The sequence below is a fragment of the Homo sapiens genome, chromosome 15 (assembly GCF_000001405.40).
Source record: "Homo sapiens chromosome 15, GRCh38.p14 Primary Assembly".
In the NCBI taxonomy this organism is placed as follows: Eukaryota; Metazoa; Chordata; class Mammalia; order Primates; family Hominidae; genus Homo; species Homo sapiens.
In genome coordinates, this window is record NC_000015.10 from 32,885,218 (window position 1) to 32,901,050 (window position 15,833).

General features: G+C 38.2%; 1 protein-coding gene and 1 non-coding gene across 17 annotated transcripts in view, besides 2 other annotated features; one reads left to right on the forward strand and one right to left on the reverse strand.

Annotated features, from left to right (window-relative positions):
* The window catches only part of FMN1 (formin 1), a 429,171-nt gene that overhangs the window by 119,674 nt on the left and 293,664 nt on the right, over positions 1 to 15,833 (reverse strand). For all 16 annotated transcript variants that reach the window (XM_011521509.4, NM_001277313.2, XM_011521504.4 and 13 more), the window contains 3 exons: positions 14,762 to 14,908; positions 13,617 to 13,676; positions 2,955 to 3,075 (listed from right to left, as the gene is read on the reverse strand). In XM_011521509.4, coding sequence (XP_011519811.1) covers positions 2,955 to 3,075; positions 13,617 to 13,676; positions 14,762 to 14,908 — 328 coding nt within the window. The remainder of the gene's footprint in view (positions 1 to 2,954; positions 3,076 to 13,616; positions 13,677 to 14,761; positions 14,909 to 15,833) is intronic.
* Positions 9,983 to 10,084, forward strand: LOC124903606 (small nucleolar RNA U13). The gene has a single exon (XR_007064832.1). It is a non-coding gene; the product is annotated as a small nucleolar RNA U13 (small nucleolar RNA).
* Positions 13,715 to 14,244: an enhancer, noted in NCBI's record as "OCT4-NANOG hESC enhancer chr15:33191133-33191662 (GRCh37/hg19 assembly coordinates)". NCBI's record gives its function as "activates a minimal SCP1, AML or CMV promoter by ChIP-STARR-seq in naive and primed H9 embryonic stem cells {active_cell/tissue: H9 hESC(naive and primed)}" and the evidence as "EXISTENCE:reporter gene assay evidence [ECO:0000049][PMID:30033119]".
* Positions 14,245 to 14,774: an enhancer, noted in NCBI's record as "OCT4-NANOG hESC enhancer chr15:33191663-33192192 (GRCh37/hg19 assembly coordinates)". NCBI's record gives its function as "activates a minimal SCP1, AML or CMV promoter by ChIP-STARR-seq in naive and primed H9 embryonic stem cells {active_cell/tissue: H9 hESC(naive and primed)}" and the evidence as "EXISTENCE:reporter gene assay evidence [ECO:0000049][PMID:30033119]".

The following is a 15,833-nucleotide window of genomic DNA, read 5'->3' on the forward strand; positions in this document are numbered from 1 at the left end:
CCCAAAGCAAGTTCCTTCCTGTGACTCTATCTGATCTGACAGTCTACATGTGTGGTTTTGGGAGTGTGTGCACACGTGTGCATGCTTGTGTATATATGTTCAGTAACTCTAATTTTTTTCTTCATGAGGCTTCACATTTTGAATGCCAAAACTTTCTGTCTGATCTCCAATCAGATGTGGTGACTTCTGGGTCACAGGCGTGATATGTATTGAACACATGCCTTAGAAGTCGTATCTAGTTTCAAAACTTGACTAGATCATCACCTCTGAAACACTGGCAAATTACTTGAGCACCACAAACTTCAGCTTTCTTATCTTGTGAGAAGTCAAAAATAGTATCTGCCTCACAAGGTCACTGCAGAATTAAAAGAGGTGATATAGATAAAGCACTTGATAGATAATAATGACACAATAAGTTGCAGTTGATACTATTATCAATTCCATGCTACGTTTACCTGCATAAAAATGCCATTCAAAGTTCTTGCCTCTCTGAAAGATGCTTAATGACAACTTCTACTTAAATCAGTGACATTAGTATGACCAATAACCATAGGTTAATTCACATTAGGTTAAGGTGTGTTAATACTATTTTTTTTTTTTTTTAAAAGACTCTGCCTGCCTGGAGATCTAGGGCCTGATACTTCTTGAAATTTGCTAATCACATCTGGTTTAGCTTTAGACATTTTCTGGGATTTTGCCAGCAGCTACGACACTTTAATGGCTACAATAAACCTCAAAGCCTCATCAAATCTTTGCTGTATGTGTGAAAATTATGTCCTCTTCAATTAAACATTCAATCTCAGCTCACACCAAGGCCTTATGGAAAAGGAGGTGAAACCTGAATGGAAACGTTAAGATGAAACGGACCGCCACGATTCTGGCCATCTTGCCAGATGGTATTTAGAAGAAAAAGAAATTCATTAGAGAACCTACGGTGTGTATTTTCTTTAAATATTTACTGGGTACCTTTCATGTGTTGAAAACACTGGCATCTCTAAAGATTAGCAGGGCATTTTTGTTTAAATATTCCATGTGTGTGAGGTGGGGGGAGTCATTTCCTCATTTGCCTTTGTGGTACTTCATGTGTTTTGGTGAAGCCTGGTACAAAGAAGAAAAGTAACTGAGACAATGTTCAGTTTTCTTTCCTAAGGCCGCTCTACCTGCTTCAAAAGCTCTTGTATTTTCCTAAAATCGGCTGAGGAAAGTGTCAGTTGAGTACTGAGAGATCCGGAACGACAATTCAGAGCCTCCCTAGACAAAAGAAGGTGTACCAAAGTGAGGCGCTATGGGGGAACCCTTGTCTCTCTGCTCGCCTCCCAGTTCACTCCTCTTATCCTCTTGCTATTTATCATCAAACGTACAGGGACGTCAAAGTGAGGCAGCCCCTGGAAGGAGAAGGGAAAAGATCAAACAGGGATCAGGTTTCGGCTCAAAGACTATAGGAGAGGTCAGGCCAAGGGTTTCACAAGGGGCCAAGAGACAAGAGGGAATGGGCATTCAGGAACAGCCGTGGAGCAAACAAGCTCCCCTGCCATTGCTAACTCTTGCTGCCACACTGAGGACCAGCCTGGGCCCTAATTCTACCAGTGGAGAGGGACAGACAAAAATGCTAGCTGGTAGCTTACTACGCTTTATTACAATATTAATCAAGCTCCTCAACTTCAACAAGGATACAACCGCCAATTCTTCAGGAGACAGAAAATAACGACCGCAAGTTCACATATCGCATTTCTAAAGGAAGCATCCATTTGTTTGAATTCATTCAACCACATCAATGGGAGAAAAAAAACCCACGTTCCTTTAAAAATAATATACAAGATAAAAATATTCACCTGTAACCATTATCCTTTCCATGTAAGTTTTATGCCCAAAGTAAAAATAAATGGCTCTCTTTGCCACCGGGAGCAGATCTTTCCCACTTTACTTCCATTTCCAAGCTGTTCTCAGCCTCAGACTTAGGTTTCTGAGTACTCTTTCACAATAAACATTTTAAAAATGTTTACTTTATGTCTTGGTCTTAAAATATTCCTGGTTGAAGCCCTTCATTTCCTCAAGCTCTGCTTCTGGCACTCTGGGCTCCATTTCCACATTAACACGCTCTCTAAATCCTCCGCAGAGCTCTTCAATTGGAGTTATACAAGCTCCAAGGCAAGTATTTATATTCTTGGACAAGGAGATGTCTCCACAGTAAAAACACGAGACTCTAGAAATGCCAAAGGAAAATTCCTGCCCAAGTGAGACATATTTTCACCTTTTAAAAAAGCCAAAAAGGGGCTTTCAGCATTTTCTTTTGACTAATTAAAAATGTAAATTAAACTAAAATGGAATGTTTACTGTGGGCCTTACCATCATTATTAGACTCATATATAAACCAAACATACAGGAACATGTGTGTATGTGTACGATATGTATGATATACATATATATTTAAAGCAGCAGAGTAAACTAGCTAATGTGTAAGTTCTAGAAACTAGAAACTAGAAAATGTGAGTTCTAATTAGACAGACTTGATTAGACTTGATTAGAGCTCAGTAAATCTGTCTATTACTGGCTGTGTGAACTTAACTTCTCTAAGCCTCATTTTTCTCATCTGTAAAATGGGTTTAGTGTAGTTCCAGCTTATTAAGATTGTTATATGAGACAACAGTAAGCATCTAGTAAATGGTTACTGCTATTATCATTAATAATGTTATAACTACTAAATGTTAGAAAATGTAGATATAACGAGATATGGATATAAGAAACAAATGATCAACACTAATAAAAGAGAAGAATTTGAAAATACAGTGCCTCTACACACTGTGTAGAGAAGGAAAGTTTCCTGAAAGCTGTAGTGTACCATTGCTGAACTCTGCACCAATCCCACTCTATGAACCAGACCTAAATAATCCTCTTAAAACATTTTTTAAAAGTAATCTTAGCTATTATCATAATAGCAGAACAGTTCCTATTACCTTCTAGTTGCCTCTTCAGTTTTCTCAAATCTTTTATGAGGTCTTCAAACTTGACTTGGGAGGCCAGAAAGAAATCCTGTGGTTCCGGCAAGGGGAAAACACTCTTTTCTGTTCCAGCTTCCTAAGAGATATGGTAAACAAAAGTACATTATACTTCCCAATTGTCACTTTCAGTTGAAATTCCAAAGCATCAATGAGAAAAAAAAAAGCTTTTTTATTGGATGTCTGAGTAAGAATCATAGCAATGCTCCTCTGCTATTCCTAAATTTGGACTTGTGACTTTGAAGTGCTTTCTTGTCTTTCACAATCTCTTTTTGGACTTATTGGCAATGAGGTCGGCTATGGCATGGGCCAGGTTCTATTTTGCCTCATGAATCAAAGAGAAAATTGTCAGGTCGTCCTGATCTTGGACACTCCACTCCCATGAAAAATGGAAGAGGGGAACACATGAAAGTACTTACATTTGAAGTCCCCATTTGATTTACACATGCTAGCAATTAGACAAGTCATCTTTGGGGCATACCAATGGGTGTGAATCAGAAGGTGCTGGATAAGAAGGCACTGCAATGGAAGATACAATCACCCTCCCATCACCTTTCCTCACCTTTCTCTGTGGCTTAAAGCTCTTCTGTGTGCATGCATGATCAGATTCTTTGTATATGGGTGTATCTACACATATACACAGGTTTTTTTTTTTTTTTTTTGGAGATAGGGCCTTGCTTTGTCACCCAGGCTTGAGTGCACTGACACAATCACGGTTCACTGCAGCCTTGACCTTCCAGGTCCAAGCGATCCTTCTAGTTCAGCCTATTAGCTGGGACCACAGGTACGTGCCACCATACCCAGCTAATTTTTAATTTTTTGTAGAGACGGGGGTCTCACCATGTTGCCTAGGCTGGTCTCTAACTCCTGGGCTCAAGCGATCCTCCAGCCTTGGCTTCCCCAAAATTCTTCATATATTTGAAAAGCTTTTGCAAATGTTGTCTGGCTTATCTTAGGAGACCGAGGGCAGGGTGAAGTATAGTTTTAACAAGCTCCACTGCTATAGCTAATGGAGAATTCTCAGCTGAGAAACATCTTGAAGGACAAAAGCTTCAGGCACATGAGCCTCAAATATCTTTTCCAGTCTAGCTAGCTTTCTCCCTGAGTTGTTTAACGTAAGCTTTGTATCTTGCATGTCTTAGGCCGTCTTCAATTATTCCTCTCTCTGCACAGGCTACTTTGCCAGCTTTCCTTCACATTCCATCTTCCCTACTGCCATTAGGACTAATTCCAAACTCTAAAACTGCTTTACAAGGCACTTTATGATCTGGCCTCTGTCTACATCTCTGGCCTCATTTTTACCTTCCCCCTATCTCCAACTCCCTCTAGACCTTCATGAAATAACAGACCACAATCTCTTGCTTCTAGGCCTTTGTCTATAAAATGGTCCCTTTCCGACCCTTCCCTAGTGCCTCCTTACACTTCCTTGTTCATACTCATCCTTTAAGTCTTAAAACAAACGTCCTTCCTTAAAGATTTCCCCTAACCTCCAGCACGTGGGTGTTTCTCCCCTGTTCTCCAAAGGCCTATGACGCTTACATTATCACAGCATTTATCACCATTAATTTTTTTCCCATAAGTTATTGGGGTAGAGGTGGTATTTGGTTACATGAGTAAGTTCTTTAGTGGTGATTTGTGAAATTTTGGTTCCCCTATCGCCCAAGAAATATACACTGCACCCTCTTTGTAGTATTTTATCCCTCATCCCCCTCCCACTCTTATCCCCAAGTTCCCACAGTCCATTGTATCATTCCTATGCCTTTGCATCCTCATAGCTTAGCTACCACATATCAGTGAGAACATACGATGTTTGGTTTTCCATTCCTGAGTTACTCCACTTAGAATAATATTCTCCAATCTCATCCGGGTCGCCGAAAATGCTGTTAATTCATTCCTTTTTATGGCTGAGTAGTATTCGATTGTATATATATATATCAGTTTCTTTAATCACTCTTTGACTGATGGGCATTTGGGTTGGTTCCATGATTTTGCAATTGTGAACTGTGCTGCTATAAACATGCACGTGCAAGTATCTTTTTCATATAATGACTTCTTTTCCTCTGGATAGATACCCAGTAGTGGGATTGCTAGATCAAATGACAGCTCTACTTTCAGTTCTTTAAGGAGTCTCCACACTGTTTTCCATACTGACTGTACAAGTTTACATTCCCACCTGCAGTGTAGAACTGTTCCCTGATCATGGCATCCATGCCAACATCTGTTTTCTGATTTTTTGATTATGGCCATTCTTGCAGGAATAAGGCAGTATCGCATTGTGGTTTTGATTTGCATTTCCCTGATCATTAGTGATGTTGAGCATTTTTTCATGTTTGTTGGCCATTTGTATATCTTCTTTTGGGAACTGTCCATTCATGTACTTCGCCGACTTTTTGATGAGATTGTTCTTTTCTTACTGATTTGAGTTCACTGTAGATTCTGGATACTAGTCCTTTGTCAGATGTATAGATTGTAAAGATTTTCTTCTACTCTTAGGTTGCCCCTTTTGAGGTACCAAAGCTCTTTGGTTTAACTAAGTCCCAACTACTTATCTTTGTTTTTATTGCATTTGCTTGTGGGTTCTTGGTCATGAAATCCTTGCCTAAGCCAACATCTAGAAGGGTTTTTCCAATGTTATCTTCTAGAATTTTTATAGTTTGAAGTCTTAGATTTAAGTCCTTAATCCATTGAGTTGATTTTTGTGTAAGGTGAGAGATGAGGATCCAGTTTCATTCTCCTACATGTGGCTAGCCAATTATCCCAGCACCATTTGTTGAAAAGGGTGTCCTTTTCCCACTTTATATTTTTGTTTGCTTTGTTGAAGATCAGTTGGCTGTAAGTATTTGGGTTTATTTCTGGGTTTTCTGTTCTGTTCCATTGGTCTATGTGCCTATTTTTATACCAGTACCACGTTGTTTTGGTGACTGACTATGGCCTTATAGTATAGTTTGAAATCAGGTAGTGTGATGCCTCCAAATTTCTCTTCTGCTTAGTCTTGGCTCCCGCCACGTGGGTTCTTTTATGGTTCCGTATGAGTTTTAGAGTTCTTTTTCTTGAGACGGAGTCTCGCTCTGTCGCCCAGGCTGGAGTGCAGTGATGCGATGTTGGCTCATTGCAGGCTCTACCTCCCGGGTTCACGCCATTCTCCTGCCTCAGCCTCCCAAGCAGCTGGGACCACAGGCACCCGCCACCACGCCCAGCTAATTTATTTTTAGTAGAGACGGGGTTTCACCATGTTAGCCAGGATGGTCTCAATCGCCTGACCTCTTGATCTGCCTCGGCATTCCAACTGGGATTACAGGCGTGAGCCACCGTGTCCAGCCTAGAGTTGTTTTTTTCTAATTCTGTTAAGAATGATGGTGGTATTTTGATGGAGACTGCACTGAATTTGTAGATTGCTTTGGGCAGTATGGTCATTTTCACAATATTAATTCTACCTTTTCACAATATTGATACTACCCATCCATGAGCATGGGATAGGTTTCCATTTGTTTGTGTTGTCTACGGTTTCTTTCAGCAATATTTTGTAGTTTTCCTTGTGGAGGTCTTTTGACTCCTTAGGTATATTACTATACACACATATATATATATGTATATATTTGCAGCTATTGTAAAAGAGGTTGAGTTCTTGATTTGATTCTCTGCTTGGTCACTGTCGGTGTACAGAAGAGCTACTAATTTGTGTACATTAATCTTGTATCCTGAAACTTTGCTAATTATTTTATCAGTTATAGGCGCTTTCTGGAGGAGTCTTTAGGGTTTTCAAGGTAAACAATCATATCATCAGCAAACAGTGACAGTTTGAACTCCTCTTTACTGATTTGGATGCCCTTCCTTTCTTTCTCTTGTCTGATTGCTCTGGCTAGGACTTCCAGTACTATGTTGAAGAGGAGTGGCGAGAGTGGGCATCCTTGTCTTGTTCCAGTTCTCAGAGGGAATGCCTTCAACTTTTCCCCATTCAATATTATGTTGGCTGGGGGTTTGTCATAGATGGCTTTTATTACATTGAGATATGTCCCCTGTATGCAAATTTTGCTGAGAGTTTTAATCATAAAGGAATGCTGGATTTTGTTGAATTCTTTTTCTGCATCTATTGATATGATCATGTGATTTCTGTTCTTAATTCTGTTTATGTGGTGTTATCACATTTATTAACTTGCGTATGTTAAAACCATCCCTGCATCCCTGGTATGAAACCCACTTGATCCTGGTGGATTATCTTTTTGATATGTTGTTGGATGCAGTTAGCTAGTATTTTGTTAAGGATTTTACCATCTATGTTCAACAAGGATATCGGTCTGTAGTTTTCGTTTTTGGTTATGTCCTTTCCTGATTTTGGTATTAGGGTGACGCTTGCTTCATAAAATAAATTAGGGAGGCTTCCCTCTTTCTCTATCTTGTGGAATAGTGTCAAAAGGATTGTTATCAATTCTCCTTTGAATGTCTGGTAGAATTCTGCTGTAAATCCATCTGGTCCTGGACCTTTTTTTTTGTTGGTAATTTTAAAATTATCATTTAATTCTTGCTGCTTGTTACTGGTCTGTTCACGGTATCTAATTCTTCCTGATTTAAGCTAGGAGGATTGTATTTTTCCAGCAATTTATCCATCTCTTCTAGGTTTTCTAGTTTATGTATCACCATTAATTTTTAAATTGCCATGTTATCTTGTACATCTTCCCCACTAGACTCTAAACACCTCAGAGGCAGAAACTGTGTCTTGTTCTTGGTATGGTAAACAACATCTGGCATATCAATAAGCTTTATTTTTGGTTGATGGGCACTACTACAGAGGGCTTGTAAAACATGGTTCTGAGATGTATGTACCTTTAGCAGGAGACATCTAATTTATCACTATGTTTTCTTGTAGTTTCAGGAATCCTCTTGACCCTTCCTCTTTAAGGCCATTAGCTTTGTTAGGGATACTAGGATACAGTAGTTTTCTTCATTTTATCAGACACAATGTACTTTTTTCCCCCATCTTCATATACTTATTTTACTACTTTAAAATGGAAGCAGTACTCTCATCTGAGTGCCAAGATGGAACAACATCTAAGATCCTCACTACAAAGCTCCATGCTAATCTATGCTGGAAGAACTCAGGCATAGTATCTCTTTCCATTTTCCAAAACTTTATCAGATTCAGTCCTGGTTTTGATTGCGTGTGTGTGTGTGCGCGCTCGTGCGCGCGCTAGAAAAAAGGAAATGTTGCTGAGTGTATCAGGCTGGTAGCAGCTCTTATGAAAGCTGCTTAATTAGAGTTAAAAAGGCATGACTCTACATGGGTTTCTTTAAATTTCACAGACCAAGACTTGGACCAAAAACCAGGCATGAGAATAAGGAAGCAGGGAGCAGGAGTCATCTTTCTTTAGCTAATTGCTCATCACCACTAACCAAAAAAGTCATCACTTAGGCTCCTAGAGGAAAGGGCCAGTTTCATAAATCACATAATTCTACCCTCTTGTTGAGTGAAATGCATTTTGCACAGTAAAAGCCAGAAGAGCACCACACTACTGTGGGCTTATTTTTCCTAGACTGGGCCATCCCATGTTTGAAACTGTTCTCATTGTAAGATTTTCCTCTGTGAAGTTGATTCCACTGGGTTCAGCTCTTTTCAACCACAACTATATTCCACAGGCATATTTCAGCCTTCCCACACAATGCATTTGACTTGGTTGGGGTAGGTACTACCAATAAATCTGCCCATGCCAACCTAGGGTTAGAAATGTCACCCTCAAAGATTCTTCAGGATAATTCTTCTGCCACACTAGTACCTGCTGTCAAAACCTAGGGTATGTGCTTATGTGCCCGCTGCTGCTTCTTAATTTCCTGAAGCTAAACATGCCTTCCTCACTCCACCAGAAAACAGCTCTCATCTCCTCATATCTAGTTCTTTACAGATGCCACTTATTACACGTTTGTGAATATTAACATTATATCCAGTTCAGCAAGTTTTATCAGACACCTGTATTACAGGCAGTAAAAAAGAGACAATGGCCAGGTATGGTGGCTCATGCCTGTAATCTCAGCACTTTGGGAGGCCAAGGCGGGTGGATCACTTGAGGTCAGGAGTTCGAGACCAGCCTGGCCAACATAGTGAAACCCCGTTTCTGCTAAAAATACAAAAAAAATTAGGTGTGGTGGTGCACACCTGTAGTCCCAGCTACTTGGAAGGCTGAGGCACGAGAATTGCTTGAACCTGGGTGGCGGAGGTTGCAGTGAGCCAAGATTGCACCACTGCACTGCAGCCTGGGTGACAGAGCGAGACTCCATCTCAATTAAAAAAAAAAAAAAAGAGAGACAACAATGAATTCTGAACCTCAAAAACCAATGCCAAGATAATAGGTAATTCCTCATATATACATACAAGGCAGAATAAGATGCATCTTGAGAAAGATTCAAACAAAGTACTTCTCAGGCTTCAAAGCCTTCCTTCAAAGATCAGGATGTTAATAACGACCTCAAAAAAGGGCCATGTAAGATTAGACTAAGTTATTTTTCACTACATCTTTTTTCCTGTTTACAAAAGTGATACATGTTCATTATGTTTAGTAATGGAAAGAGAGAAGACAGTTAAAAAAAAAAAAACGCTTACAATCCTAATATTCAGAAACATTTTAATGTATTTTTTTCAGGTTATTCTGTGTATTTATATTTATCTACTACATATTTGGTATTATACTATATGTTATTTTGAAACACTGCTTGTAAATTAAAAGCAGATCAAAATTATTTTCTAATACCACTATATTCTCTCCTATACACTCTCCATAAGAGTATATTATTCCAGTGTGTGACTCTAGTATAATTTATTTGACCTTGGTCTCCATCATTGTACACCTACCAAAATTTTTCCAATATTTTGCTATCATAAGCTATTATAAGTAAATAGTCATTAAATCCTTAGTTGTTTTCTTAGGGTAGAAATTTCTTAAAAGGTTACACGTATTTCTAGGGCTGTTGATACAGAAAGGTTGAAAACCTTGCTTATGATCCTGAGATTCATGAGTGTGATGGATTGGGTGTTCGTATGCATGTGTGAGATGCGCCACCATTGAACCTTGTTAAGATATGGACACATTACCTGTCTGACATGAAGAAAAAAGGAAAAAATGAAAAAATGTGGGAAAAAAGGGAAACAAAAAGAGGAAGGAAAAAAAAAAACAAAAACACAACCTTGCTTGCCCATAAAGCATACATGTATAAATTAGGAAAATGTGTTCCTGTAGGTAGGAACAGCTTTATGGGCAAACAGCTTGACAAGCACATGGCATCTTTATGTGAATTTTTTAAAGTGTGCCCTTTATAGGATGTATAATTTGGTGAATCAACGGCAGGCTAAATATGAGTCCCATTTGACTTAGAGACCTTAAACAGAGAATATATTGATTTACCATACATGACAGTCCTGAGAAAGGTTTGATCAATTTACAGTGCTAATTCTATATATCTAGTTGGCAATTTATGTCTTCTATATGTCTTTTGTAAATTGCCTGTGATATATTTTGCCATTTTTTAAAAATAAGGAAGAAAGTTTTTTTTCTTGTTAATTCTCGAGTTCATTGTCTATTATGTTGTAAACATTTTACCAGTACATTATTTTGAATTTAGTTTTAAGTCATTTTTGAGATACTACAGTATTTTAAAATTTTAATTAGGAATTGAAGTTTTTTAGTTTTATGCATTGAAAGTCATCATTCTCACCTTTTATGGTTTGTGTCTTAGACTGAACACTTCGAAAGGATTTTGCTACTTCAAAATCAGTAAACTATTTACCTACACTTTTGTCATGTCTTATTGATTTTATTTTTCATTTATTTCTACATTTATCTCTTCTGTTCTTTAAAACTTTGCTCTGGTCTCTGGTATGAGATCTAGGAGATAATTCAATTTCTTCCTCTTACCAATTACTTGAAATTTCTCTTTTATCACATACTTGACACATATTTATTTAGATCCATTTCTGAGATTTCCTTTTCATGTTCTTAAGTTTTGTGATGTTAGTCTATCATTCTACACTTTTAATTATTATAGCTCTATAATATATTAGAATATATAAATGAATGATTCTCTCTTCATTTTTAAATCCTGGTCAAATTTTTGTCTAATTATTTTTATACATAATATTTAAAATTATTTTGTAAACTTCTAAGATTGATTAGAATTTTGACTGGTACTTCCAACAGAGGACATAATGCCACTCCTTACTGTGGTAAAAAACAAACAAAAAAAACCCCCTATAACATGATATCTGTTCTCTTAAATTTTTAAGTGTACAGTATAGTATTGTTAGCCATGTGTATTATTGTACAGATCTCTAGAACTTCTTCATCTTACGTGACTGAAACGCCGTATCCTCAATTCTCCATTTCCCCATTCCCGCATCATTCATTCTACTTTCTGTTCCTTTCAGTTTGACTACTTTAGATACTTATTTAAGTGGAATCATGCAGTATTTGCCCTTCTGTGACTGGATTATATTGACTTAGCATAATACCTTCAAGGCTGACCCCATGTTGCAGCATACGACAGAATTTATTTCTTCTTTATGGTTGAATAATATTCCCTAGTACATATACGCATTTTCTTTACCTATTCATCTATTGACAGACATTTAGATTTGTTTCCAAATCTTAGCGATTGTGAACAATGTTTCAATGAATATGAGAGGGAAAATGTCTCTTTGAGATCCTGGTTTCAATTCTTTTGGATAAATACCCAGAAGTGAGATTGTCTGATCATATGGTAGTTCTATTTTTAATTTTTTGAAGAAACTCCCTACTGTTTTCCATAGCAGCTCCACCATTTTATATTCCCACTGATGGTGCTAACTGGTTCCATTTTTTCTACATCCTTGTCAACACTTGCTATTTTCCATGTGGTAGGGTTTTGGTTTTAGTTTTTATTAACAGCCATCCTAAAAGGCATGATGGGCTATCTCACTGTGGTTTTGATTTGCATTTCCCTGGATGATTAGTGATGTTGGCACCTGTTGGCTATTTGTTTGTCTTATTTGGAGAAATGTCTATTCAAGCCCATTACCCAATTTTTAAAATTGGGTTTTTCTTTTCTTCAGTCTGTTTTTAAATTTTTATGGCTTTCAGTAAAATTACGTGAATGTATTCACAAAGGTCTGTACTTGTCTGGTTAAGTCTGTAACACATATATTGGTAATGTTACTGGGAGACTTTTTCCCAAAAAATCTTTAAATTTATTATTTCCAGAGAGGAGTAATGAGAAAAAAAGGAAGTTTTATAAAAAGGCTAGAGACAAAGATACTTTCAGTGAGGGAGAACATCAGAAGTAAAAACACATTAGTAAGAAAGCACAGGGTGTGTGTGGAAAACATCAGGTCTTGAGTTGGATCACAGAATACGTGTAGAGGGAAAGTAATAAAAGCAAGGTTGTAAAAGATTGGAATTAAATTCGTAGAGTCCTAATTCACTTGAAAATGGGGAGCCACTTCTGTTTTGAGTAGAAAAGCAATAGGATCAGAGCTGTGTAAAGAGGGTGTGGGATGGCTTAGAGTGGTAGAACCTCGAAATAGAGAGCTGAGCTGGAAAGCAAGTGAAATTCTCCAAGTGAGTGGTCTTAAAACCTGGGTAAGCTGGGGTCGGCAGGAAAACAAAACAAAAAACAAAACAGGGAAGGACATCAGAAACAACTCAGTGGAAGGACAGAGAGTAGCCAGAGAAGGACAAGGTTTCATGCCTTAATAGCCAAAAACTATCAAAAACTACGATATTCTTAACAGAAATCAGGGAAAAGTTTGGGGGGCGGGGAAACGATGAGCCTGGCTGTAGGTATATTGAAAATAGTTAGATAAGCCCACCAGGAGGGTAGAAGAAAGTATTATGGAGTTCATCAGTGCCTCACTTGTCTTCTGGATGAAACTGCAGGCCTATTGAAAGGCCCTGAGATCTCTACTATTCTTCCCTCGATGCTTAGGAACAATTATGCTTACATGGATGGTTAAGCAGAAGTCCTGACAGCATTTACTTTGAGACTTTTACTATTCATATCGATTGCTATATTTCTTAACATCTTACAACAATACCTTTTTCTTCTCAAAATTACAACTCCTTGTTCTCAATTTAACAAGAAGGAATAAAATAGAAAATTCTGCTCAGATGGACTCACACAGAAATGTTTATTTCTAATTGCAAATGCCCTCTAAGCAGAAAAGATGGATTTTTCAAATTCTACATCTTCAGTCTGTTCATAGATTCATTACTGATAAAATATTGGGTATTACTGAGTCTTACTTTCCTAAATTTTGCTTTGCATCATCAGAATACAGTTTCAATTATAACCAATTACTGAGCGGATCTAGATTTCACAGAGAACCTCACAATCTGGCCATAAAGCACTGAGGCAGCTAGGGGTCTCTCTGAAGCTGTGTTATAGTCGATTGAGACTCAGTAGATTTACACCACTGAATAATGCTTCTCTTCATAAGTCAACTAAACTCTCTTGGTTTCAGTGTGCTCATCTGTAAACCACGCTGGAGAGCTCTCATATTCTATGTTGGGCTTGCAGTTCGTTCATCCATCTATCCATCATCCAACTTATGAATGTCAACAATGAGTAAGAGGTGAAACTTTTCCACGTAATACCATTTCTTACCTGATCATAGTAACGCAGGTAATACTTAACAACGTAGTCCACCAGATTAATCCCATTATCCTAGGTTTAAAAGAGAAATGTACATGAAAATCATTCCCATGAGACTGTCATGTTACACGGTTGAGAGGTGAAATCTCAGTTGAGAAATTTCTAATTCGTGAAAACTGGCTTTCTCTTCGATGCTGGCAAGGTTTTCCTTCCTCTGCTTTATCCCATCCATTTATTATGCTGGCTACATAAAGAAATGACACTGTACTATCCTTTGTGGGGAAAAACAAACAGATAATCCATAAAACTTCTGAAATAATGGCTAAAACAAACAAAAAAGTTGTGTCCTTGTATTTTCTGGCACACAGCCAAGACAGGAGGTGCGGGGAATGCTAAAGGGAACCAGGGCCTAGAACAGAAAAGCACCCTCCCTGCCCGTCTTTCAAAAAATGTGCGTTCTTAATGGTGTGAAAAACAATCCAGGCCAGCTTAAAAGGAGCACCACACCACTTTATGACCCCGGGAGGCCAGTGGGGAGCAGGCCCTCCCACAAGGCAGCCTTTGTGTCCTGCTCACTGGGGCCTAATTCTAATTTGCCTGTGTGTTTCCCCTCCCTGCACCCCCCTGCCCCCCATGGGACGCCTAGCTATGGGCTGATTGTTTCTAAAGAGGTAGCGCCACAGGGGTGTGGAGCCAAGTGATAATCAGGCTCAGAGAGCTTGACAGTAGACCCCAGCCCAATTGTTGTGGCAAAAAATTGGTGATTCAACATTGCTCTGCCATTCAGGAATGAGTAAACTACTAGTAGCCAACACTAAACTCAAACAGCCTCCAGCCTTTGCAGGATCCTGGTACTGTATGCTATCTGTTTTGTTCTCTCACTGAGTAGCAGTTCAATACCTGATTGTGTATGTCAGAGCACACGAAGATGGGAATTGAGTAATTGAAAATAAAGTCTAACGTGAAAAAAAAAAACCAAACAAAACTCTTTATTCGAAAGTGAAAAGAAAGCAAACAAAAAAATGCATGCTCTAATATAAATGTTGTTAAGGGGAGGATAGAGATAAATGGAACAATCTGGAATACGTTTTTTAAAATTAAAGGTAAAGAAAGAAAATAATGGCAGATCATGGGAACTTATTATGAAAAATAAATACCCGACTTTTGACATCCTTGAGTTTGGGCAGAATTTCTAAGCTATATCCATCGGCTTGTCCCCGAGTCCTATTTCCTCCATTCATATAATTTCCAAAAGCCAAGATGAGAGCTAAAATATCCTTCACGCTCTTCACGTGCAGCAAGTCCTGTGATGGCAAACACCAGTTATTACGGAGCTGAACTCCAAATGCACCCATGTTCATTCAGTAACAAATATCGACTGTGTACTCAATAGGCTGTCGGGAGGCTTGGTACCAACAGAATTAACAGTTGCTGAAATGAAAAACACACTTTACTAAGCCATGAGTGTCTTTACAAACACATTAACAGCCATTATTTTCTACCCACTCAAATTAATTATAAACAGTGCATGTTTTAATACATGAGGATTAACTATTGGTTTTATATTTTCATTTGAGCCAGTTTAATTTTTAATACTTATTTTAAAGTAGAAGTTGTAAAAAGGGAGTTGGTATATATAGTAAGGCTTAACCTTTGATGACTTCTAGGTAGAAAGGGGTTTACCTTTTGAGGATGTATTTCAGGACTATTTATCTAGATAACCAATACAGTTAAATGCAGAGCAGATACAGAAGAAGTATGTTCTTCTTTATCCCCGGATATAATTTTCAGAGCTAAACTACAATAATGCATTTTAAGGCTGTAGGCCATCTTTAATAAATTTATTAAACTTACTTTATTAAGTGCTTGTTGTATTGTCTATTAACTTTTACAATTTCAAGCTGCTTAGGATTTTCTTTGTCTCCCTGTCTCATTTGTTTGTCCTTTTATTTATTTTTTACTTCAAGTACAATTTTCCAATTGAAATTTTTTTTCTTTATGGTCTTAATTCACATTTTATCCCCCTTTATTTCAGGGTAAAAAAAGTAATGGCTGGGCACGGTGGCTCACGCCTGTAATCCCAGCACGTTGGGAGGCCGAGGCAGGTGGATTGCCTGAGGTCTGGAGTTCAAGACCAGCCTGGCCAACATGGTAAAACCCCATCTCTACTAAAAATACAAAAACTAGCTGGGCGTGATGGCAGGCACCTGTAATCCCAGCTACCTGGGA